Below are 25,788 nucleotides of genomic sequence, written 5' to 3'. Positions count from 1 at the left end.
CCTTGGTATCCAAGAAGTTCTAAAAATAAAAAAATTTTAAAAACAGAATAAGAAACTCTATATCCATTAGCAGTCACTCCCCCTTCCCTCTAACACCCCCTGCAGCCCTAGGCAACAATTGATCTACTTTCTATGTCTAAGGATTTGCCTATTCTGGACATTTCACATAAATGGAATTACATATCATGTGGCCTTTGTCTGGCTTCTTTGTCTTAGTATAATGTTTTCAAGGCTCATCCATGTTGTCACATGTATCACCAGTAAAGGGTCGTGACTGCAAGTTGTCCAGGTTCTTGGCATTTTAAACAAAGAATTGGAAAAAACGCCCAGCAAAGCAAAGAAAGAATGAAGCAACAAAGAACGAAACCAGGGATTTATTGAGAATGAAAATACACTTCACAGTGTGGGAGCGGACCCAAGCAGCAGCTCAAGGGCCTAGATACAGAATCTTCTAGGGTTCAAATACCCCCTAGAAGTTTCCCATTGGCCACTTCATGCTCACCTCATGTAACTGAAGTGGTAGCCTGCAATCAGTCTGATTTGTTGCAGACAGCCAACTTCCCATCTACCACGCAGAAAAGGTCAAAGGGAGTAGCCTCTGGTCCTTTTGTTACTTAGGCTTGGAAAGTTAGGGTTTTCCTTTCAATTTAGTTTTAGGAAGTTGGCGTGAAACAGCCTTACATTCCCTGCCTCCAGACCCTATTCTCCTGCCTCATCAGTACATTTGTTCCTTTTTACTGCCAAATAATATTTCATTATAAGGATGAACCACATTTGGTTTATTCATTCATTAGTTGCTGGACATTTGGGTTTGTAGTGGGTTGAATGGTGGCCTCCAAAAAGATATGTCTATCTTTCTTAACTCCTGGCACCTGTGAACGTGACTTCATTTGGAAAAAGATTCATTGCAGATGTAATTAAGTTAAGGATCTCAAGATGAGATCACCCTGTGTTATACAGATGGGCCCTAAATCCAGTGACAAATGCCCTTATAAGAGACATACACAGGAGAAACAGAGGGAGAAGGAGGAGAATGTCATATAGAGAGGGAGGCAGGGATTGGAATGATGCAGCCACAACAAGCCAAGGGAACACCTGGAGCTGCGGGAAGCTAGGAGAGGCAAGGAATGATTCTTTCCTAGAATGCTGAGAGGGAGAATGGCCCTACCAACATTTGGATTTCAGACTTCTAGCCCCCAGAACTAGGAGAGAATAAATCTCTCTCTCTCTGTCTCTTTTTTGTTTGTTTGTTTGTTTTTTGTTTTTTTGAGATGGAGTCTTGCTCTGTCACCCAGGCTGGAGTGCAGTAGCGGGATCTCAGCTCACTGCAACCTCTGCCTCCCAGTTCAAGCAGTTCTCCCGCCTCAGCCCCCCAAGTAGCTGGGATTACAGGCAGGCGCCACCACGCCGGGCTAATTTTTGTATTTTTAGTAGAGATGGGGTTTCGCCATGTTGGCCAGGCTGGTCTCAAACTCCTCACCCCAGGTGATCTGCCCACCTCAGCCTCCCAATGTGCTGGGATTACAAGTGTGAGCTACCACGCCTGGCCAAATTTCTCTTGTTTTAAGCCACCCAGTTTGTAGCAGTTTGGTACTGCAGCCCTAGGAAACTAATTACAGTATTGTTTCCACGTTTCAGCTATTATGAATAATGCTGCAATGAGCATTGGTGTGCAAGTTTTTGTGTGGACATGTTTTCATTTATCTTGTGTATATGCCTAGGAGTGGAATTGCTGGGTCATATGGTAACTTTATGTTTAATATTTTGAGGAACTGCTAAACTGTTTTCCAAAGCTGCTGCAACATTTTACATTCCCACCAGCAATGTATGAGGATTACAATTTCTTCACATTATGTGTAATTTTTTTTTTTTGAGACGGAGTCTTGCTCCGTTGCCCAGGCTGGAGTGCAGTGGCACGATGTCGGTTCACTGCAATTCTGTCTCCCGGGTTCAAGCAATTCTCCTGCCTCAGCCTCCCAAGTAGCTGGGATTACAGGCATGTGCCACCACACCCAGCTAATTTTTGTATTTTTTAGTACAGACGGGGTTTCATCATGTTGGACAGGTTGGTCTCAAACTCCTGACCTCAGGTGATCCGCCCACCTTGGCCTCCCAAAGTGCTGGGATTACAGGTGTGAGCCACTGCGCCTGGCCACATTATGTGTCTTTTTTATTGTAGCCAACCTACTGGGTGAAAAGAGGTATCTCATCGTGGTTTTGATTTGCATTTCCCTAGTGACTAATGAAATCGAGCATCCTTTCAGGTTCTTATTGGCATTTGTACATCTTCTTTGGAGACAAGTCTATTCATATCCTTTGCCCATTTTAAAATTAGGTTATTTGCCTTTTTATTATTGAATTATAAGAGGTTTTTTTGTTTTGTTTTTTTGTTTTTTGAGACAGGATCTTGTTCTGTCACCCAGGCTGGAGTATAGTGGTGTGATCTTAGCTCACTGCCGCCTCGCTTTCAGGCCCAAGCGATCTTCCCACCTCAGCCTCCTCAGTAGCTGGGACTACAGGCATGTGCCACCATGCCCAGCTAATTATTATTATTATTATTATTTTGTAGAGACAGGGTTTTGCCATGTTGCCCAGGCTGTTCTTGAACTCCTGGGCTCAAGCAATCCACCCGCCTTGGCCTCCCAAAGTTTTGAGATTACAGGTATGAGCCATAAGAGTTTTGTTTGTTTGTTTGTTTGTTTTTTAAACATATTCTGGATATACATCCCTTCTTAAGTATATGAATCACAATTATTTTTCTCCCATTTTTTTGGTTGTCTTCTCACTTTCTTGATGGTATTGCTTGTAGCAGAAAAGTTTTAAATTTTTTTTTTTTTGAGACAGAGTCTCGCTCTGTCGCCCAGGCTGGAGTGCAGTGGTGCCATCTCAGCTCACTGCAACCTCCGCCTCCCAGGTTCACGCCATTCTCCTGCCTCAGCCTCCCAAGCAGCTGGGACCACAGGCGCCTGCCACCATGCCCAGCTAATTTTTTGTATTTTTAGTAAAGACAGGGTTTCACCATGCTAGCCAGGATAGTCTCGAACTCCTGACCTCGTGATCTGCCTGCCTGGGCCTCCCAAAGTGCTGGGATTACAGGCAAGAGCCACCGCGCCCGGCCAAAAGTTTTAAATTTTGATGTAGTCTAATTTATGTATTTTTTTCTTTTGCTGCTTGTGCTTTTGGTGTCACACCTAAGAATTCATTGCTTAACCCAAGGCCATGAAGATTTACTCCTATTATTTTCTTCTAAGAGTTTTATAGCAGTAATTCTTACATTTGATCTTTGATTCATTTAAATTAATTTTTGTGTATATTGTGAGGTAAGGGTCTAACTTCATTCTTTTTGTAATTGAATATCTAGTTGTCCCAGAACCACTTGCTGAAAAGACTATTCTTTCATCACTAAATGGTCTTAGCACCCTTGTTGAAAATCATTTGACCGTAAATGAATGGGTTTATTTCTGGACTCTTAATTCTATTTCATTGGTCTATATGTCTGTCTTTATCCCAGTACCACGTGGTCTTGATTACTGTACCTTTTTGGTAAGTTTTGAAATCAGGAAATGTGAGTCTTCCAACTTTGTTCTTTTTCAAGATTGCTTTGGCTATTGTGAGTCTCTTGCATTTCCAAATGAATTTTAGGATCAGCTTGTCAATTACTACAAAAAAGCAAGCTGGGATTTTGATAGGCATTGCACTGAATCTGTAAATCGCTTTGGGGAGTATTGCTATCTTAACAATATTAGGTCTTCTGACCCATGAATATATGATGTTTCCATTTATTTAGATCTTTAATTTCTTTCAAAGATGTTCTGTAATTTTCAGCATACAAGTTTTGCATTTCTCTTGTTAAATGTATTCCTAAGTATTTTCTTAATGATAAGTGGAATTTTTTATTTTATTTTTAGATTTTATTGCTAGTGTACAGAAATGTAGTTCATTTTTGTATATTTGTCTTGTATCCTGCAACCTTGCTGAACTTGTTTACTAGCTCTTTTTAAATTTTTTTATGTTAATTTCTCTATCTTTTTAAGCGAAGGGGTAGAAGTGTTTACTAGTTCTAATAGTTTTTAGTGGATTCCTGAGGATTTTCTACTTACAAGATTATGTCATCTGCAAATAGAAATAATTTTTATTTCTTCCTTTCCCATGTGGATTTCTTTTATTTCTTTTTCTTGCCTAATTGCCCTGGTTAGAACTTAGAGTACAATGTTGAATAGAAGTTGTGAGAGCAGACATCCTTGTTTTGTTCCTGACCTTAAGATTTTACTCCTTTTGATGTTCAACTTGTTCCATCTTTAGCAAGTAGACCCTATTAAAATTGGTTACTGCGGCCAGGCGCAGTGGCTCACGCCTGTAATCCCAGCACTTTGGGAGGCCGAGGTGGGCAGATCACCTGAGGTCAGGAGTTCAAGACCAGCCTATCCAACATGGTGAAAGCCCGTCTCTACTAAAAATACAAAAATTAGCTGGGCATGGTGGTGCACACCTGTAGTCCCAGCTACTTGGGAGGCTGAGGCAGGAGAATTGCTTGAACCTGGGAGGCGGAGGTTGCAGTGAGCTGAGATCATGCCATTGCACTCCAGCCTGGGTGACAGGGTGAGATTCTGTCTCAAAAAAAAAAAAAAAAATTGGTTACTGTGTCCTTTGGACATATCAATAGTATTTGATAGCGTCCATATTTTCCACGGCAACAGTTTGTACATCATGTACATTTCCTGCCCCAGATCTGAAATCAGCTATTTCTCCAAGGAGTCCTTGTTCCCTTTAATGGGTAAACGCATTGAGAAACCACAATCTGCATATTAAGTATACTCATTGCTACTGGGCTGATCACTGCCTTTCAATAGGCACAGCTGGAAAGTTTGTACTTTCTGGAAAGATAAAAATAATTCATAAATTCACATTGATATGTCTAATTCAAAATTAAGATTACATGGCTTTTACATATTTCATTGAATATTTGTGTCTTTCTTCCCTTAGGCTGAAAATATTAGTTCCTAATGACATTAACATAGTTACTTATTTGTTTTATCTTACTATATATACGTGCTTATAAGTGTGTATATATATTATACACACTAATAGTTTCAAGACAGCGATAATAGAATCATCACTAAGAGTTTAAGATTTTTTTGTGTATCTTTTTGTCCACAGGATATATCCCACAAAAGATTTACCATGAATACCATGTGTTTAAAGTTGTGTGGTTTTTTTTTTTTTTTTGAGATGGAGTTTCGCTCTTGTTGCCCAGGCTGGAGTGCAATGGCACGATCTCGGCTCACCGCAACCTCCGCCCCCTGGGTTCAAGCAATTCTCCTGCCTCAGCCTCCCAAGTAGCTGGGATTACAGTCATGCACCACCACGCCCGGCTCATTTTGTATTTTTTTTTAGTAGAGACGGGGTTTCTCCATGTTGGTCAGGCTAGTCCCGAACTCCCGACCTCAGGTGATCCGCCCACCTCGGCTTCCCAAAGTGCTGGGATTACAGGCATGAGCCACCACGCCCAGCCCATGTTTAAAGTTATTTGAAATAATTTCTTTCTGTGTTGTTAACCTACCAGCTTGATATACATGTTAATTTGTTTCACTTTTCTTTTGTTATTCAGGGATTCATTTCTATCCTTTTGATTTCAATTTGTTTTTATTTATTTATTTATTTATTTTTGAGACAAGGTCTTGCTCTGTCACCCAGGCCAAAGTAAAGTGGCACCATCATGGCTCACTGCAGCCGTGACCTCTTGGGCTCAAGGGATCCTCCCACCTCAGCCTCCCAAGTAGCTGGAACTACAGGCGTATGCCACCATGCCTGGCTAATTTTTAAATTGTTTTTATAGACAGGATCTCACTATGTTGCCCAGGCTGGTCTCCAACACTGGGCTCAAGTGATCCTTCTGCCTTGGCCTCCAAAAGTGCTGGGATTACAGGCATGAGCCACTGTGCCTGGCCTCAATTTGTTTTCATAATTATGTGAAAATATTTTTATGTCTCCTAAGCAAGGTATATTCAGAAAAGTGCATCCTTGTCCCCTCTGCTCTGTTCCCTCTCTATCTCAAAGACTAAGGGAACAATTTTTAATTAATTAATTAATTTATTTATTTATTTTTGAGACAGAGTCTCAGTCTGTCGCCTAAGCTGGAGTGCTGTGGCGTGATCTTGGCTCACTGCAGCCTCCAACTCCCAGATTTAAGCAATTCTCGTGCCTCAGCCTCCCGAGTAGCTGGGATTACAGGCGTGTGCTGCTTCTCCCAGCTAATTTTTGTATTTTTAGTAGAGATGGAGTTTTGCCATGCTGGCCAGGCTGGTCTCGAACTCTTGTCCTCAGGTGATCCACCTGCCTTGGCCTATCAAGCTGCTGGGATTACAGGCGTGAGCCACCATGCCCAGCCTGATTTTTTAAAATTAGTTTTTGTTTCTCCTTTTCGTTGCTTTTTTACCCCCAGAGGACATGACTCCGGCATATACCATACTTACTGACTTAATGTTCTCCAATGTATAGTACAGGCACATCAGGCATGGAAACGAACATCAAGTCCAAGCTCTTCAAAATTGTGTGTGTGCTCCCACACCAAAGCCTTGGCACAGCAAAGGTTCAGCTGCAGATGACCTTGTACCACAAACTTGCTCACAGGGAAATTTCCCTTGTTGAAAGATACAATTATTGGCTGAGTTAAAGTTCCTCTTTTCAGTATATATATCAGGTAATGATTTCAGATGTATGATTTCCTCTTTTCAGTATGTATCAGCTAATGATTTCAGGCTTAATCAATACCTTAGGAAACCTAACATTTCCAGTGTTTTTCATTAGGATAGTTCACATGTAAAGTTTAAAATTTCCCACAAATATTATATTTCTTTTATAACCCTTAGTCACCATATCAGTTATGGTGGGCACAGAAACCCAAATTTGGGCACAGAAACCCAAATTATGGTGGCTTAAATATGATGGGTTTTTTGGTTTTTTTGTTTTTTGTTTTTTCCTGTGAAAGGAGTTCAAGGATGGGCGTCCAGTGGTGACATAGCAGCTCTACATATATTAGGACCCAGGTTCTTTCTTTCTGCTCCCCTATAGGGCATGGCTCCCGTCATCAAGGTTGCTTTATAGCCCATGATGACTGCTGCAACTGACATTTTATACCACATCCTAGGCTGTAGGCAGGAAGAAGGGGCAAGGGCAGAAGGTGAAATCACTCACATTAATCAGTTCCTTTTCCAAAGCTTTCTCAGACGACTCAGGCAATGACTTTTGCTTTCACTTTATTAGCCACCGATATCTGCAGGGCAAGCTGGAAAAGTATTGCTTTAAAGCTGGGCACATTGCCACCCTCAACAATATAATGTTTCCATTAGTAATAAAGAAGGGGTTAGAGACCAGCCTGGCCAACATGGCAAAACCTCGTCTCTACAAAAAATACAAAAATTAGCCAGGCGTGGTGGCGTGCACCTGTGGTCCTAGCTACTTGAGAGGCTGAGGTGGGAGGATCAGTTAAGCCTGGGAGGTCAAGGCTACAGTGAGCTGTGATTGTGCCACTGCACTCCAACCTGGGTGACACCATGAGACCCTGTCTAACAACAACAACAAAAAGGGCAGGCAACTAGTAGCAATCTGTGCCACAATCTATACATTTCAATAATCATAATTTTGTGAATTGCTTGTAGCACACACTGAGCACTGTTAACAGAGGTCATCCTGAGGGATAAGGATGGAGGATCCTCAGTAGGGTCCCCTCACAGCAGAAAGCTCTCCATAGCACTTTGTCCAAGACTATTCTGGATGCTTCCTAGTTTCTGCTACCTTGTTTCTTTGCCAACACTGTGGCCTCACTGCCTCTTACACACCAATTCTCTTGCCTGGTGATATGGTTATGCTCTGTGTCCCCATCCAAATCTCGTGTTGAACTGTAATCCCCAATGTTGGGGGAGGGACCTTGTGTGAGGTGATTGGATCATGGGGGTGGATTTCCCACTTGCTGTTCTGGGATGGTGAGTGAGTTCTCATGAGATCTGGTTGTTTAAAAGTGTGCAGCACTTCCCCCTTCACCCTCTCTCTTCTGCCACCATGTGAAAACGTGCTTGCTTCCCTTCACCCTTCTGCCATGATTGTAAGTTCCCTGAGGCTTTCCAGCCATGCTTCCTGTACAGGCTGCAGAACTGTGAGTCAGGTAAACCTCTTTTCTTCATAGATTACCCAGTCTCAGGTAGTTCTTTATAGCAGTGTGAGAATGGATTAATACACCTGGATTTGGTCACTCACACACTGATGCCTCAGTCTGTTTCCACCATAGGCTCCTAATTGTACCCACTCAGCCTGGTAACTTACCTGTGTCCCCTCATGTCCGCCCTTAACCCCTATCCTATTGATAAGGTTTGGAGTTTGAATCTGTGTCCCCATCCAAATCTCATGTCAAATTGTAATCCTCAGTGTTGGAAGTGGAGCCTGGTGGGAGGTGATTGGATCATGAGGGTGGATTCTTCATGAATGGTTTGGCACCATCCCTTTGGTGCTGTTCTTATGATAGAGTTCTCATGAGATCTGGTTGTCTAAAAGTGTGTGGCACTCCCTCACTCTCTCTCTTCCTCCTGCTCTGGCCATGTGAGATGTCTCACTCCCCCTTTGCCTTCTGTCATGATTGTAAGTTTCCTGAGGCCTCCCCAGAAGCAGAAGCTGCTATGCTTCCTGTACAGCCCGCAGAACCATGAGTCAATTAAACCTCTTGTCTTTATAAATTACTCAGCCTCAGGTATTTTTTTTATAGCAGTGCGAGAACAGACTAACACAGAAAATTGGTACGAAGGAGTGGGGCACTGCTATAAAGATATCTGAAAATGTGGAAGCAACTTTGGAATTGGGTAAGTGGCAGAGGTTGGAAGAGTGTGGAAGGCTCAGAAGAAGACAGGAAGATGAGGGAAAGTTTAACAAGTTCCTAGAGACTTGTTAAATTGTTGTGACCAAATGCTGATAGTGATATAGACAATGAAGTCTAGGCTACGGAGGTCTCAGATGGAGATGAGGAACTTATTTGGAACTGGAGCAAAGGTCACATTTGTTATGCATTAGCAAAGAGGTTGGCTGCATTGTGCCCCTGTTCTAGGGATCTGTGGAACTTTGAACTTGAGAGTGATGATTTAGGGTATCAGGCAGAAGAAATTTCTAAGCCGCAAAACATTCGAGATATGGCCTGGCTATTTCTAACAACTATGCTCTTATGCGTGAGCCAAGAAATGACCTGAAACTGGAACATATATTTAAAAGGGAAGCAGAGTGTAAAAGTTTGGAAAATTTGCAGTCTGGCCATGCAGTAGAAAAGAAAAACCCATTTTCTGGGGGAGGAATTCAAGGCAGCTGCAGAAATTTGCATAAGTAAAGAGGAGCCAAGTGCTAATATCCAAGATAATGGGGAAAAGGCCTCCAAGGCATTTCAGAGACCTTCCTGGCAACCCCTTCCATCACAGGCCCAGAGGCCGAGGAGGGAAAGATGGTTTCATGGGCCAGGCCAGGACCCTGCCACCCTGCACAGCCTTGAGACACTGCTCCCTGTGCCCCAACCACTCCAGATCCAGCCTTGGCTCAAAGGGGCCCAGGTACAGCTTGGGCCACTGCTTCAGAGGGTGCAAACCATAAGCCCTGATGGCTTCCATATGGTGTTAAGCCTGCAGAAGCCCAAAGTGCAAGAGTTGAGGTTTGGGAGCCTCTGCCTAGATTTCAGAGGATGTATGAAACACCTGGATGTCCAGAGAGAAGCCTGCTGCAGGGGCAGAGCCCTCATGGAGAACCCCCACTAGGGCAGTGCTGAGGGGAAATACGGGGTTGGAGCCTCCAAACAACGTCCCCACTGGGGCACTTCGTAGAAGAGCTGTAAGAGGAGGGCCACCATCCTCCAGACCCCAGGATGGTAGATCCACTGGCAGCTCGCACCATGCACCTGGAAAAGTCGTAGGTACTCAATGCCAGCCCATGAGAGCAGCTGTGTGGGCTGAGCCCTGGAAAGCCACAGGGGCAGAGCTGCCCAAGGTTTTGGGAGCCCACCCCTTGCATCAGTGTGCCCTGGATGTGAGGCATGGAGTCAAAGGAGATTATTTTGAAGCTTTAACAGCTGCCCTGCTGGGTTTCAGACTTGTGTGGGGCCTGTAGTCCCTTTCTTTTGGCCGATTTATCCCTTTTGGAATGGGAGTATTTACCCAAGGCCTATACCCCCATTGTAGCTTGGAAGTAATTAACTTGTTTTTTATTTTGTAGGCTCATAGCAGATGGGAATTGCTTTGTCTCAGATGAGACTTTGGGCTGTAGACTTCTGAGTTAATGCTGGAATGAGTTAAGACTTTTGGGAACTGTTGGGAAGGCATAACTGGATTTTTCCATGTGAGAGGGTCATGAGATTTGGGAGGGGCCAGGGGCAGAATAATATGGTTTGGATCTGTGTCCCTATCCACATCTCATGTTGAATTGTAATCCCCAATGTTGGAGGTGGGGCCTGGTGGGAGGTGATTGGATCATGGGGATGGATTCTTCATGAATGATTTAGCACTATCCCTTTGGTGCTGTTCTCGTGATGGAGTTCTTATGAGATCTGGTTGTTTAAAGGTGTGTGGCACCTCCCTCACTCTCTCTCTTCCTCCTGCTCTGGCCGTGTGAGATGTCTCACTCCTTCTTTGCCTTCCACCATCATTGTATGTTTCCGGAGTCCTCCCCAGAAGCAGAAGCTGCTATGCTTCCTGTGCAGCCTGCAGAACCATGAGCCAATTAAGCATCTTTTCTTTATAAATTACCAGTCTCAGGGATTTCTTTATAGCAATGCAAGAATGAACTAATACACTCGTTTTCAACTTTACCATTCCCTGCTTGTCCCTGATCTCCTGAAAGGGTCCAGCCTTCCGTAGGTAATAAATTGCAGTTCTAATGGTTGACGGTTGCCCCAAATGTTGTTGAATTTATTTATTTATTTATTTATTTATTTATTTATTTATTTATTTATTTTTAGAGAAAGGGATTTGTTCTGTCACCGAGACTGGAAAGCAGTGGTATGATCATAGTTCACTTAAGCCTTGAACTCCCAGGCCCAAGAGGTCTGCCTGCCTTACCCTCCTGATTAGCTAGGACTACAGGCACACGCCGCCACGCCCAGCTACTTTTTAAAATCTTTTGTAGAGACAGAGTCTCTCTATTTTCCCAGGCTGGTCTCAAACTCCTAGCCTCAACCTAGCTGCAAGCAATCCTCCCACCTCAGCTTCCCAAGTTGCTGAGATTACAGTCATGGGCCATCTTGCCTGGCTAGGATTAGAATTGTTAACACATACCCTCATCGGAAACAACTTTAACAACTAGAGTATAGTGTTTATATACAGCTCCTTTCGTCTCTGGTCTTACAGTATCCACTCATTTCCAAAGTTACATACATCAGCACCTTTCCTCCCTATCCCCTTCAGTGAAATGATTTCATGCATTTGTAATGCAGCTAGATTCTTTTGTCATATTCTGTATTCCATCTTGCAATCACCTGACCTTCTAAATGACTTTTTTAATTGCATACATTGTCACTCTTTGTGCTATAAAGTTCTATAGGTTTTTGAATAATGCACAATATCATCTAACCCCATTATAATATCATACAGAATATTTTCACTGTCCTCAAATTGCCCTGTGCTTCACTTTTCAACCCTCCCCGTTCCTGGCCCCTTGGCAACCACTGATCTGTTTGTTATCTCTAGTTTTGCCTTTTACAGAATGTCATATAAAATGGAATCATGCAGTATGTAGCCTTTTCAGACTGGCTGCTTCCACTTAGCAAGAGGCATTTAGAATTCATCCATGTTTTTGCATGGCTTGATAGCAAATTTCTTTTTATCATTGAATAATGTTCACTGTATGGATGTACCACAGTTGGTTTATATATTTACCTATCAAAACACCTCTTGATTGCTTCCAGTTCTTGGTGATTATGAAAAAAGCTGCTATAAACATTAGTGTGCAGGTTTTTGTGTGGACATAACTTTCAAATTAGCTGGTTAAATACCTATGAGAACAATTGCTGGATTGTATGGTAAAACTATGTTTAGCTTTGCAGGAAAGACCAAATGGTCTTTCAAAGTGGCTGTACCATTTTTGCATCCCCGTCAGCAATGAGTGAGAATTACCGTTGTTCCTCATTCTCAACAGCAATTGGTATTGTCAGTTTTCTTTGGATTTTAGGATTCTAATAGCTGTGTATTGGTATCTGATTGTACCAGATACCTATTGTACTGTCTACTTTGGTAGACCACACAGTTTCTCCCACTCTGACATTTTATGCTGCCTTCTCTTTGGGGACTTACATCCAGGCTTTTTGGCATCATTTATTTAATAATGTCTTCACCTTCTCCAGATTTCTTGGTGGAAGGAGACCTGGCTGCAACCTTTGATACAGCTTTAAGTGCACTGTGAATTGCTGATAAAGATGCTACAGCATTTATCTGTAATGAAATGGGGTCTCTGGAGCTAGGACTTCCTCACTCGCAGCTCTCTAACAGCACAGTGTTGAAGGCTTAAGTTTTGCTGGCAGTTGGCTGGCCTGAGCTATAATGCCCAAGAACTAAACTATTCCAGGAACTAAAATGTGGTACACTCAAAACAACTTCTGAGCCCTTTCCCATCCATTTCTGCCGGGAATTCAAAACTCTGTCCTGGCACAAACTGATGGTACAATTCAGGTTTTACCCGCCCACACATAGCTGGGCAAATTCCTGGCCGTTAGGTAACCTCTGGGGGCTCACCAGTTCCCTCATCATCCTTCTCTCTGACCAGCTGTTCATGTCCAGTTAGCAGTTCTGGGTGACTCATATGACTACAGTTCATCCCAGAAGCCCCAGCTGAACTCCATTTTTATTATAAAACACAGAAAAGCATACAAAAAGAAAGTACAGAATAGCACATTATTATAAGGGCACACCCTCATAACTACCATCCAGGTCAAGAAGTAGTACTTTGCTAGCCACCCCGGAAGCCCCTCCATGGCCAGTATCCTGATTTTTATAGCAACCATTGCCTTATTCTTCTCTACAGCTTTATCACCCAAGTGTGTATCCTTAGACATTCTAGTTGTGCCATGCTCATTAAAAAGTTTGATTTGTCTATTTTTTTTTTTTTTTGACAGGTTCTGGCTCTGTTGCCCAGGCTGGAGTGCAGTGGTGCGACTTTGGCTCACTGCAACCTCTGCCTCCCAGGCCCAAGCCATCCTCCCACTTCAACCTCCCAAGTTAAGTAGCTGGGACTACAGGTGCATATATATATAAATATATATATACATATATAAATATATATACATACATAAATATATATACACATATATACACTCATATATGTGTATATATACATATATACGTATATATGTGTATATATATATTTTTTTTGTGGAGATGGGGTTTTTCCATGTTGTCAAGGCTGGTCTCAAACTTCGGCCTTCCAAAGTGCTGGGATTACTGGCATGAACCGCCGTGCCTGGACTTGATTCATCTTTTAAATCTCTTTTAATCTACAGTTTTCTTCTATGACTTTTTTTTTTCTTTGAGATGGGGTCTCCCTCCGTTGCCCAGGCTGGAGTACAGTGGCTCAATCTCGGCTCACTGCAACCTCCACCTCCCTGGTTCAAGTGATTCTCCTGTCTCAGCCTCCCAAGTAGCTGGGGCTACAGGTTCATGCCACCACGCCTAGCTAATTTTTGTATTTTTAGTAGAGACAGGGTTTCACCATATTGGTCAGGCTGGTCTCGAACTCCTGACCTCAGGTGATCCACCAGCCTCAGCCTCCCAAAGTGCTGAGATTACAGGCGTGAGCCACCGCACCCTGGCCGTCTATGACCCTTTCTTTTCTTTATTCTCTACTTGTTGAAGAACAAGACAATTTGACCTATAGTTTCCTAAAATCTGCATTTTGCTGATGACACACTGATGGTGCATTTCAACATGTATTCTGCTCCCTGCCTTTCTTGCAAATTGTCATTTGGATCCAGAGGTTTGATTAGACTGAATTTCCATCTTTTTTGCAAGACTATAAGTGGTGCTGAGTTCTGAGACATGTAATGTCTGGTCGTGTCTCCTTTTGTGATTTTAGCAGCGGTTGATTCTCATTGCCTAGATCAATTAATTCATAGAGTGTTGCAAAATGATTATAATCTAATTCTATCATTTTATTTCATTTATTAGTTGGGATAATTGGATAATTTTATAAAGAGATGCTTCCCCGATCTATTATTTGGTTACCTAGTGGTGCAGTTTCTAAAGGAAAAGCAGGATATATGTTTTATTTTTTCCCTTTTTTATCCGTTTTCAGATGATGAATTGGTCCCCTGACATCTTTCAAGGTGGCCAGTTTTTAAATATCACCATGAATTTAAACATTTAAACATGTTTTATAGGTTTTAATTTGTTGCATTTTTATTGTGGCAAAATATATATAACAAAATTTAGCATTTGAACCATTTTTAAGTATACAGTTTTATGGCATTAAGTATCTACTGCATTTTAATACTTATTGAAGCTCTGTTTCACTTTTAAAAACCTGTTCTTTTTTTAAAAATCTTTAAATATTTCCTAGCCTAGAGCCTTTTGAATGAAATTAGGAGAACCTCATTCCCACAATTTGCTTTCCTCTTATGTCCTTACTTCCCAATCAGCACAAGGAAACATGAGCCGAAGTGAGAAGTGAAACACCCCACCTCACAGATGCTGTCTGCAGTGTCACAAGTTATGACTCACGTTTAGCCCAGAGATTGTTGCCAGAGTTAGCAGGAGGAAGACCGGCTTTCGAAGTGTGCCAGGGCTGAGGTTTTAAAATTAATACAGTTTAAACATTAATGATGTTTAAATCAGAGCCGGATTACTTCTGTTCTGCCCACAGGCTTTATTAAAATTCACCCCTGGATTTTCATGTATAAAAATATTTGAGTTTCAAATACTTTAACTTTTTTTTAAATTGGAAAATATGTGGATGGAGAGTTTTCCCTTTGAACTTTAACCCAGACTTTGGCAGCTGAGGAGACAGCTGCAGAAACCTTGCACAATACAGTTGAATGGACAAGTTGTCCTGACATTTATTCATTTCTCTCCTTTTGAGTTAGTTGGTTCCCTATTTTTATTTTCCCCCGTCTTCATTCTGGGCTTACCCGCTCAGTTGACAAATAGTTGGGAATCCAACCGACAAGTATACATGGAAGCATTACAAGTTTCTTTTCTAAAGTCTATGAGAAAAATTTTCATAAAGAAATCAAAGCCCACATATAAATAAATTTCGGCAAAGTAGAAACAATATCCACAAGAGTCAATATATGGCTGTTTTGGATATAAGGAAGTCCTGTATCGGGCTCCATTCCAGAGTGCTTTAAAAAGTAGGATACACCAGGGCCGGGCGCGGTGGCTCACGCCTGTAATCTCAGCACTCTGGGAGGCCGAGGTGGGTGAATCATGAGGTCGGGAGATCGAGACCATCCTGGCTAGCACGGTGAAACCCCATCTCTACTAAAAATACAAAAAGTTAGCTGGGCGCGGTGGTGGGCACCTGTAGTCCCAGCTACTCGGGAGGCTGAGGCAGGAGAATGGCGTGAACCCGGGAGGCAGAGCTTGCAGTGAGCCGAGATTGTGCCACTGTACTCCAGCCTGGGCGACAGAGCGAGACTCCGTCTCAAAAAAAAAAAAAAGTAGGATATACCCAAGTATCCCAGTGCTGGGACACCACTATCTTAACAAGTACTGAGGAGGTAGAGGAAAGCTTATTTAGAGTAACAATGACAGGAGATTGATGGCCATGTCAAATGAAATGGTATTTTCAAGCCTATCTACTGAAAATGAAAAGCAAATAAATAATAATTAATTTATTCATTGACAAATATTTCTTTCTTTCCTTTTTTTTTCTTTTTTGAGACAGAGTCTTGCTCTGTTGTCCATGCTGGAGTGCAGTGGCACAATCTTGGCTCACTGCAACCTCCACTTCCTGGTTTCAAGCAGTTCTCATGCCTCAGCCTCCTGAGTAGCTGGGGCTACAGGTGCCTGCCACCACACCTGGCTGATTTTTTGTATTTTTAGTAGAGATGGGGTTTCACCATGTTGGTCAGGTTGGTTTCGAACTCCTGGCCTCAAGTGATCCACCCTCCTCGGCCTCCCAAAGTGCTGGGATTACAGGCGTGAGTCACCACGCCCAGCCTCACTGACAAATATTTCTGAAGTGCCAGTTATATACTGAGCTCTGTGCCTGGTGCTGGGAACATGGCTATGAAAGGTCTTCACAGATCCAATGGTTGAGAAGGGGAAGCAGACCAGCATCAAGAACTGTGAAGGGTCTGAGATTTTATCCTACTTACAAGCTAATAAGATAACTTGTCACAGTTTCATGGATGTGGACAGAAAACATGAGACTCTTGGGTCAAAGGCGAAGGATTTCATTACTCATGACACAGCAAGCAGTATAAGCATGAGCACATTTACATCAGTTCCCTGTGTCCCCCAAGTCTGATGATGGTGATATGGATGTGCTCAGATGAAGGTCTGCACACACAGTGGATTGCATTAAAGGAGAAAAATACTAGAGTTAGGGAATCTAAATTTTTTATAATAGGTGGTGAGCATGCTTACCCTTTACTCTGGAGGGAGATGCCACCTCTATCTTCCAAGCTTGTTAGCCATACAAACATCCTTAAAAAGACAGTCTGGAACAAGCAAATGGCAGTCTAGATCAGTCAATAGACAAGCACTCCCAGATGTGGATGAGCCTAGCCAAGATGAGCAGGGTTGTTTAGCTGGCCTCCAGTTGACCCCAGACATGTAAGCAATAAACACTCTGTTTATCACTGAGATTTTGTGGTTGTTACATGACTTTATGATAGCAATAAACAACTGATACCATCACACATGGCTTCTTAATTCCAAAATCTAATTTCTCTTTTCTATTGTAACCAAAGATTTCTGAAATACAGATCTTATCAGATCACTTCACTGTCTAAAAGCCTTCGGCTATAGACTGCAACTCTAACAGGAAATCCAAAGTCCTTGGTGGTCTGGTTCCTATTTTCTTTTTATTTATTTAATTAATTAATATATTTAAGCTGACAAATAAAAATTGTATATACTTATGGTATACAACATGATGTTTGCCCATTATTATTATTATTATTTATTTTTCGAGACAGAGTCTTGCTCTGTCTCCCAGGATGGAGTGCAGTGGCGCCATCTCAGCTCATTGCAACCTCCACCTCCTGGGTTCACGCCATTCTCCTGCCTCAGCCTCCGGAGTAGCTGGGACTACAGGTGCCCGCCACCGCGCCCAGCTAATTTTTTGTATTTTTAGTAGAGCCGGGGTTTCACTGTGTTAACCAGGATGGTCTCGATCTCCTGACCTTGTGATCTGCCTGCCTCGGCCTCCCAAAGTGCTGGGATTACAGGCGTGAGCCACTGCGCCCGGCCTGCCCATTATTTTTTTAACTTCACCTTTTACCTCTCATTCCTCTCATTGTATTTCCCTCTCATTCTCTTTCTTGCTTCTGGCATTCCACTCACATAGATTACACAAATTTCCCTGCACTTAAGAAAAACAAAATCTTTAGAATACTTTTTAAGATTATAAAAGTTATTTATTCAGGCTGGGCACCGTGGCTCACTCCTGTAATCCCAGCACTTTGGGAGGCCGAGGCAGGTGGATCACTTGAGGCCAGGAGTTTGAGACTAGCCTGGCCAACATGGCAAAATCCTGTCTTTACTAAAAATACAAAAATTAACCCCGTGTGGTGGCACATACCTGTGATCCGAGCTACTCGGGTGGCTGAGGCACAAAAATTGCTTGAACTCAGGAGGCAGACGCTGCAGTGAGCCAAGATGGTGCCACTATACTACAGCCTGGGCGACAGTGCAGGACTCTGTCTCAAAAAAAAAAAGTTATTTATTCATTTTAGTAAATCTGAAATGTATAGAAATGTACAAAGAGCATCACCCAGGGCAACCTTCCCTTGAGGCTTTTGTTCCTCCAGCTCTTTTTGCATATCTGGTTTACACTAATATCAGATGCTTTTGTTTATCATCACTAGGTGTAAAAGTATTTTCTATTTAGAAAATTTGGAGGAAAAGAAACACCACTAATAATTTAAAAAGACAAATGAGCATTTAAGAACTATGATAGCCAAGGAGCTAATATCTTTACCATATAAATGGTTTCTACAAATCAATTAATAAATATACAGTAGGCCGTCCCTATCCATGGGTTCTGTATCTGTGGATTCAACCAACTTTGGGTAAAAAAAAAATTGGAAAAAAACCCAACAAAAAATAACAATACAACAATAAAAAGAAGACAAATTAAAAACCAATACAGTATAACAACTATTTACATAGCATTTACATTGTATTGGGTATTTTAAGTAACCTAGAGATGATTTAAAGTATACAGGAGGATGTTGTAGGTTATATGCAAATATGACACCATTTTATCTCAGGAACTTGAGCATCTACCATGCAGATACCAAGGGCCGACTGTATATACATGAGAGGGCAAAGAATAAAACAGGCAACTCCCAGATAACTACAAATGACCAAAACACAAAACAAAAATACGTTCACCTTTAAAGGTGCAAATTACAACAATGTACATAATGTTTAACTTAGATTAGCTAAGTTAAAAAATAATAAATCTGAGTGTTAGCATGGGTACTCTCATACACTGCTGGTGTATGTGTAAATTGTCATAACCTTTCTGGAGGGCAATGTAGCATGGTTTGTTAAAAGATCTATAAGGTTCTGACCCTTTGATCTTCTAATTCTACTTCTAGCAATTTATCATAAAGAAATGATCAGTTATGTGTGTGCAGAGATGTTCACTGCAAGGCTGTGTAATGGAAAGCAAGTAGAAATGACAAAATTTCCAAGGGGAAATTGAATATGTTAATCATGGTACATTTCATCAACGGGTTACTTTCTGATCATTAAAATAATGAAGTAGAGCTATATTTATTGACATGGAAAGATGTAAAAACATAGTTAAGTGAGGAAAGTGGAATATGAAACTGAATATTTTTCAGTCACCTCCGTATATATATCTGTATATTATTTCTTTAAAGATTATCTGAATACTGATATTTCTTTAAAGAATACACCAAGATATACTGCATAATCTCACCTATAGGTGGAATCTAGAAAAGTCAAACTCATAGAAGTAGAGAGTAAAATGGTGGTTATCAGAGGCTGGGATCTGTGGGGGTGGAGAAGGGGGAGATGTTAGGAAAAGGTACAGAATTTCAGACAGGAGGAATAAGTTCTGGTGATGCGTTGCACAGCATGGTGACTACAGTTAATAATAATGTATATTTCAAAATTGCTAAAAAGGTAGATTTTATTTTTATTTTTATTTATTTATTTAGAGACTGAGTCTCACTCTATCACCCAGGCTGGAGTGCAGTGGCGCGATCTTGGTTCACTGCAACCTCTGTCTCCCGGTTCAAGTGATTCTCATGCCTCAGCCTCCCCAGTAGCTGGAATTACAGGTGCCTGCCACCACGCCTGGCTAATTTTTGTACTTTTAGTAGAGACGGAGTTTCACCATGTTGGTCAGGCTGGTCTCGAACTCTTGATCTCAAGTGATACGCCCGCCTTGGCCTCCCAAAGTGCTGGGATTACAGGTGTGAGCCACCGTGCCCGGCCCAAAAAAGGGTAGATTTTAAATATTCTCACCACAAAATAGTAAGTTTGTGAGGTGATAGATACATTAGCCTGATTTGCTCATTTCACAATGTTTACATGTATCATAACATCACATTGTACCTCATTAATTGTCAATTAAAATAAAAGTAACAAAAAGAATATGTCAAGATATTATGAGTGGTTATTTCTGGACGATGGGGTTATGGTAGTTTTAAATTTTATTCCTGAATTTTCACTTTTTAATTTATCTAAAATGGCCTGGGTGCAGGGGCTCACGCCTGTAATCCCAGCACTTTGGGAGGCCAAGGGAGGAGGATCTCTTGAGGTCAGTAGTTCAAGACCAGCCTGGGCAACATGGTGAAACACGGCCCCGTCTCTACTAAAAATACAAAATTAGCTGAGCATGGTGGTGTGCACCTGTAATCCCAGCTACTCAGGAGGCTGAGGCAGAAGAATCGCTTGAACCTGGGAGGTGGAGGTTGCAGTGAGCCGAGATCACGCCATTGCACTCCAGCCTGGGCAAGAGAGTGAGACTCCCTCTCAAAAAAAAAAAAAAAAAGTTTATCTGAAATGAAATATGGATTACTTGCATATTTAATTAGGAAAACAGAGGATTGATTGGCATCTTCTTTTAGTTATTTTTTATTTTGTTTTATTACATTTCTTGTTTGCACTTATAGTCAACATAACAGGAGATAAGTTCAGAACATTGTTGGTTGTGCTTTTGATAAGCTCCTGACACCAGGCCACTTTATAATTACTCTCATGAGAATTTTCCTTTGCTCAAAGTCTTTATTCCTTTTTTTTTTTTTTTTTTTTTGAGACAGGGTCTCACTCTATCACCCAGGCTAGAGTGCAGTGCAGTAGCACAATCATGGCTCACTGCAGCCTCGACTTCCCAGGCTCAAGCGATCCTCCCACCTTAGCCTCCCAAGTAGCTGGGACTACAGGTGTGTGCCACCACACCCAGCTAATTATTGTATTCTTTGTAGAGATGGGTTTTGCCATGTTGCCCAGGCTGGTCTTGAACCCCTGCCCTCAAAAGATCCTCCTGCCTCGGCCTCCCAAAGTGCTGGGATTATAGGCATGAGTCCCTGCACCCAGCCCTGCTCAAAGTCTTTGGGTGGCAGCCTGGGCCAGGGAGCCCTGATCTCTGTGAGGGACTTACAGCACTCCCACCTATGGCACCTGTTCAGAGGTTCCCAGTGTGACTCAGATCAAGCATAGCTCATTTGACAAAATTTATGAATTATAAGTTTGCTTGCTAAAGGGAAAAGGGTTTTGTTTTTTTGGTTTTTTTTGAGACAGGGTCTCACTCTGTTGCCCACGCTGGAGTGCAGTGGTGTAAGCATAGCTCACTGTAACCTTGAACTCCTGGGCTCAAGCAATCCTCCCACTTGGTCTCAAGTGATCCTCACACCTCAGCCTTCCTAGTAGCTAGGACAACAAGCATGCGCCACTGTGTCTGGCTAATTTTTTATTTTTATTTTTGTAGAGATGCTATGTTGCCCAGATTTGTCTCAAACTCCTGAGCTAAAGTGATCCTCCTGCCTGGGCCTCCCAAAGTGCTGGGATTACAGGCATAAGCCACAGTGCCTGGTCGAAGGGGGAAAGATTTAAATACGCAATGGCATGGATCCCAAAGGCTCAAATAGGATTCACCATGGGAATGCTTTGATGTCCTTCTCTTCTAGAAACCACACCCTACCTTTTTATAGACTTCCTATATTCGTCATCTATCATCGTCTAACAAATTATTCCAAAACTTAGTGGTTTAAAACAACAATAATCATTTATTATCTTTTATGGTTTCTGTGAATCAGGGATTCAGAGAAGGGACAGCAGAGACAGCTTGTCTCTGCTCCACGATGTCTGGACCTCAGCTGGGAAGACTCAGTATTTGCAAGCTGGAATCCTCTGAAGGCTTACTCATATATCTGGTGGCTGATGCTGGCTGTCAGCCAGAACATCTACACACTGTGGTCCTCTCATGTGGCCCAGACAGTGCGATGGCTGGGTCCAAGAGCAAGTATCCTGAGAGAGCGTGCAGTGGAAGCTGTGTCCTTTATACAACGTAGCCTTGGAAGTCATGTTAATATCATTCCGCTATACTCCATTGGTCAGAGCAGTCACAGCCTCTGCCCAGATGTCAGAGGAGGGAATGTAGACCCTACATTGTATGTGGAGTATGTGGAGTGGGATACACACATTGATGCAGTCATCTTGGGAAAATACAACCTGGCACACTTCCCAAATTTCAACAGGAACTCACCAAACATCTTGGATCTATATTCTTCAAAAAGAAATGAAAATCTCGGAGAACTTTCTTTCTTCTCTCCCTTCTTTCCCTCTATCTCTGCCTCCCTTCTTCCTTCCCTCTATCTCTGCCTCCCTTCTTCCTTCCCTCCATCCTTCCCTCTCATTCTTCCTTCCCTTCAGTTATAGACAGCATAACTATCAGTGAGTTACTGTTTCACAGTGTGACGTCTTGCCAGCAGGGTCATTCTGATGGTCTGCCTGGGGGCTCCCTAATTTTTTTTTGAGACAGAGTCTCACTCTGTTGCCCAGGCTGGAGTGCAATGGCGTGATCTCGGCTCATTGCAACCTCCACCTCCCGGGTTCAAGCGATTCTCGTGCCTCAGCTTCCTGAGTAGCTGGGATTACAGGTGTGCACCACCTTGCCTGGCTAATTTTCATAGTTTTAGTAGAGATGGGGTTTAGTAGAGACAGGGGTTTCACCATGTTGGCCAGACTGGTCTCGAACTCCTGACCTCAAGCGATCCACCCGCCTTGGCCTCTCAAAGTGCTGGGATTACAGGTGTGAGCCATTGCGCATGGCCTCGCTGATTTTATTTTTGCTATGTTTATATTTTATTTTCCACATCGCCACATTCTTTATGCTATAGAGACAAGAAGGCTATCTTCTCAAACAATCCTTTGTCATATCTTACCTAATTATTTCCAAGAAAGATTTTATAACATTAAAAATGTCAGAATTAGGGCAATGTTTTCCTTTCACTATATTCCGGGCACTGTTCCAAACAGACCCTTTACAAATATTAACTTGCTTACTCTTCATAACATTATTCTGAATATACAGATGAGAAAACTGAGGCACAGAGAAGTTAAGTAACTTGCCCAAGGTCACAAAGCTATCACATGGCAGAGACAGGTGTCAAACTCAGGGCATCTGGCTCCTAAATCTATATTCTTAACCACCATGTTATGTTGCCTCTCTATCATTATTCTACTCCACTGGCTCCTTATTAACTTGAGCAACAAGAAATATAGCCTCCGAACCTCCACCTCCTGGGTTTGGGTGATTTTCCTGCCTCAGTCTCCTGAGCGGATGGGATTGCAGGCATGTGCCACCATGTCCGGCTCATTTTTGTATTTTTAGTAGAGACGGAAACAGGGTGTCACCATGTTGGCCAGGCTGGTCTCAAACTCCTGACCTTGGTTGGTCCACCTGCCTGGGCCTCCCAGGGTGCTGGGATTGCAGGCGTGAGCAACTGCGCCCCGCCTTTGTGTACCTTATGTGAGGAAGTCCTGCTCTTAATCAGGATCAGTCATGCAGGCCCTGATCTTGCTACTCTGGTTCCATGTCCTGTGAAGACCAAAGCTTACCAAGATAGCTTTTTCCCTTCATGGTGGCAGATAGTGTTGCCCCCTGCACCATCTATAACTGGGAAATGGCCACTATTTCTTCCCTTGGGCTTCAGGATAGAATTACCTGGTTTCTCTGATGATCAGCACTCTTCCTTAAAACCCAAATCAGGAAGGAATGAACAATTTTCTGTGTTTGGCATGGATGAAATTAGCACTGTTTGGCTTTGTAGGCCCCAGACAGGCAGGCAGCTTAATTTTTTCCTTGCATATTCTAGTCTTCATAAGTATTACCCTTTGTCCTGCTGGTAATGACATAGTAGATAGTATACCAGCAACTGGGCATCTGGGGATTTTAATCCTGAAAACAGTGGGTCTGATACTGCTTGTGTTTTTCATCAGTGTCCACCCCAAGTGGGTCTTCCTGCTACTCCCTTCACTTAGTTGCCCCCTACTTGCCATCTGAGCAGTTGGTGAGGATGTCCCAGGCCTAGGTTAAACTTGGAGACATGCTTGACCATTCTATTCCCTGCTCCTTTCAGATCAGTTTGGCTGCAATTTTGGTTCCTGGGACCCTCGAGCATAGCTGGGAAATCAAGTTAGAGGTGTAACTGCTTTAAAATGTGCCAGCTTATGAGGTAATTAGATTGGTTCTCTCCAGAGGTAAACTTCCAAGAAGAGATGCTATAGATGCTACTCTTACGCTGTAAAACATTGTGAAATCAGATTACTTTCAAATGATGTATTACAAAGTTATGGAAAAAAAGCAGTTGTGACTATGGAAGCCCAAGGCTTATATCCCAGCTGTCTTACACTAAATATGGGTACTGTGTTTCCTCTCTTTGTCTGCAAAATGGGAGCTAATATCCTCCAATCTGTGTGCCTGACATGGTGGTTAAAAGGATTAAGCAAAACAATAGTTTGTAATTTATTCTGTCAGAGCAAACTACTGGTAAATAAATAAAAGGGAGTAAGTTGACTAAAAAAATTTTTTTATAAATAAGAAAAACCATAATAAAACAAGTTTGTAATTTGTAATTGTATACAAATAAAAGATGTTATTTAAAAAAAAAAAAGAGCTTCTTTTCAGAGAAAACACCAAATGGCGGATGACGCCGGTGCAGCGAGGAGGGTCCGGAGGCCCTGGTGGCCCTGGGATGGGGAACCGCGGTGGCTTCCGCGGAGGTTTCGGCAGTGGCATCCGGGGCCGGGGTCGCGGCCGTGGACGGGGCCGGGGCCGAGGCCGCGGAGCTCGCGGAGGCAAGGCCGAGGATAAGGAGTGGATGCCCGTCACCAAGTTGGGCCGCTTGGTCAAGGACATGAAGATCAAGTCCCTGGAGGAGATATATCTCTTCTCCCTGCCCATTAAGGAATCAGAGATCATTGACTTTTGCTTGGGGGCCTCTCTCAAGGATGAGGTTTTGAAGATTATGCCAGTGCAGAAGCAGATCCGTGCCGGCCAGCGCACCAGGTTCAAGGCGTTTGTTGCTATCGGGGACTACAATGGCCACGTCGGTCTGGGTGTTAAGTGTTCCAAGGAGGTGGCCACCGCCATCCGTGGGGCCATCATCCTGGCCAAGCTCTCCATTGTCCCCGTGCGCAGAGGCTACTGGAGGAACAAGATCGGCAAGCCCCACACCGTCCCTTGCAAGGTGACAGGCCGCTGCGGCTCTGTGCTGGTGCGCCTCATCCCTGCACCCAGGGGCACTGGCATCGTCTCCGCACCTGTGCCTAAGAAGCTGCTTATGATGGCTGGTATCGATGACTGCTACACCTCAGCCCGGGGCTGCACTGCCACCCTGGGCAACTTCGCCAAGGCCACCTTTGATGCCATTTCTAAGACCTACAGCTACCTGACCCCCGACCTCTGGAAGGAGACTGTATTTACCAAGTCTCCCTATCAGGAATTCACTGACCACCTCGTCAAGACCCACACCAGAGTCTCCGTGCAGCGGACTCAGGCTCCAGCTGTGGCTACAACATAGGGTTTTTACACAAGAAAAATAAAGTGAATTAAGCGTGAAAAAAGGAAAGAAAGAAAGAAAGAAAGAAATATAGCCTCTGAGCCAGGTGTGGTGGTGCACACTTGTAATCCCAGCTACTGGGGAGACTGAGGCAGGCGGATTGCTTGAGTTCAGGAGTTTGAGGCTGCAGTGAGTTATGACTGCATTACTGCACTCCAGCCTGGGCAACGGAATGAGACCCCGATTCTTAAAAGAAAGAAAGAAAGAAATGGATTGTGGAAAATCATGAGCTCTCAGATGTATAAAATAATGGGTTGCTGGCTGGGCGCGGAGGCTCACGCCTGTAATCCCAGCACTTTGAGAAGCCAAGGCAGGTGGATCACCTGAGGTCAGGAGTTCAAGACCAGCCTGGCCAACATGGTGAAACCCCACCTCTACAAAAAATACAAAAATTAGCCGAGCATGGTGGCGGGCTCCTGTTATCCCAGCTACTGGGGAGACTGAGGCATGAGAATTGCTTGAACTCGGGAGGCAGAGGCTGCGGTGAGCCGAGATAGCGCCACTGCACTCCA

The 25,788-nt window shown here is 43.0% G+C and overlaps 1 pseudogene, besides 2 other annotated features; it reads left to right on the top strand.

Moving 5' to 3' along the window:
• Nucleotides 9,070-9,751: an enhancer, noted in NCBI's record as "NANOG-H3K27ac-H3K4me1 hESC enhancer chrX:40809721-40810402 (GRCh37/hg19 assembly coordinates)". NCBI's record gives its function as "activates a minimal SCP1, AML or CMV promoter by ChIP-STARR-seq in naive and primed H9 embryonic stem cells {active_cell/tissue: H9 hESC(naive and primed)}" and the evidence as "EXISTENCE:reporter gene assay evidence [ECO:0000049][PMID:30033119]".
• Nucleotides 9,752-10,435: an enhancer, noted in NCBI's record as "NANOG-H3K27ac-H3K4me1 hESC enhancer chrX:40809037-40809720 (GRCh37/hg19 assembly coordinates)". NCBI's record gives its function as "activates a minimal SCP1, AML or CMV promoter by ChIP-STARR-seq in naive and primed H9 embryonic stem cells {active_cell/tissue: H9 hESC(naive and primed)}" and the evidence as "EXISTENCE:reporter gene assay evidence [ECO:0000049][PMID:30033119]".
• RPS2P55 (ribosomal protein S2 pseudogene 55) lies at nucleotides 24,332-25,274 on the top strand (annotated as a pseudogene).

Source organism: Homo sapiens, chromosome X, assembly GCF_000001405.40.
Source record: "Homo sapiens chromosome X, GRCh38.p14 Primary Assembly".
NCBI classification, from domain to species: Eukaryota; Metazoa; Chordata; class Mammalia; order Primates; family Hominidae; genus Homo; species Homo sapiens.
The sequence above is the reverse complement of the archived record's forward strand: the minus strand, read 5'-3'. Positions and strand labels throughout refer to the sequence as shown.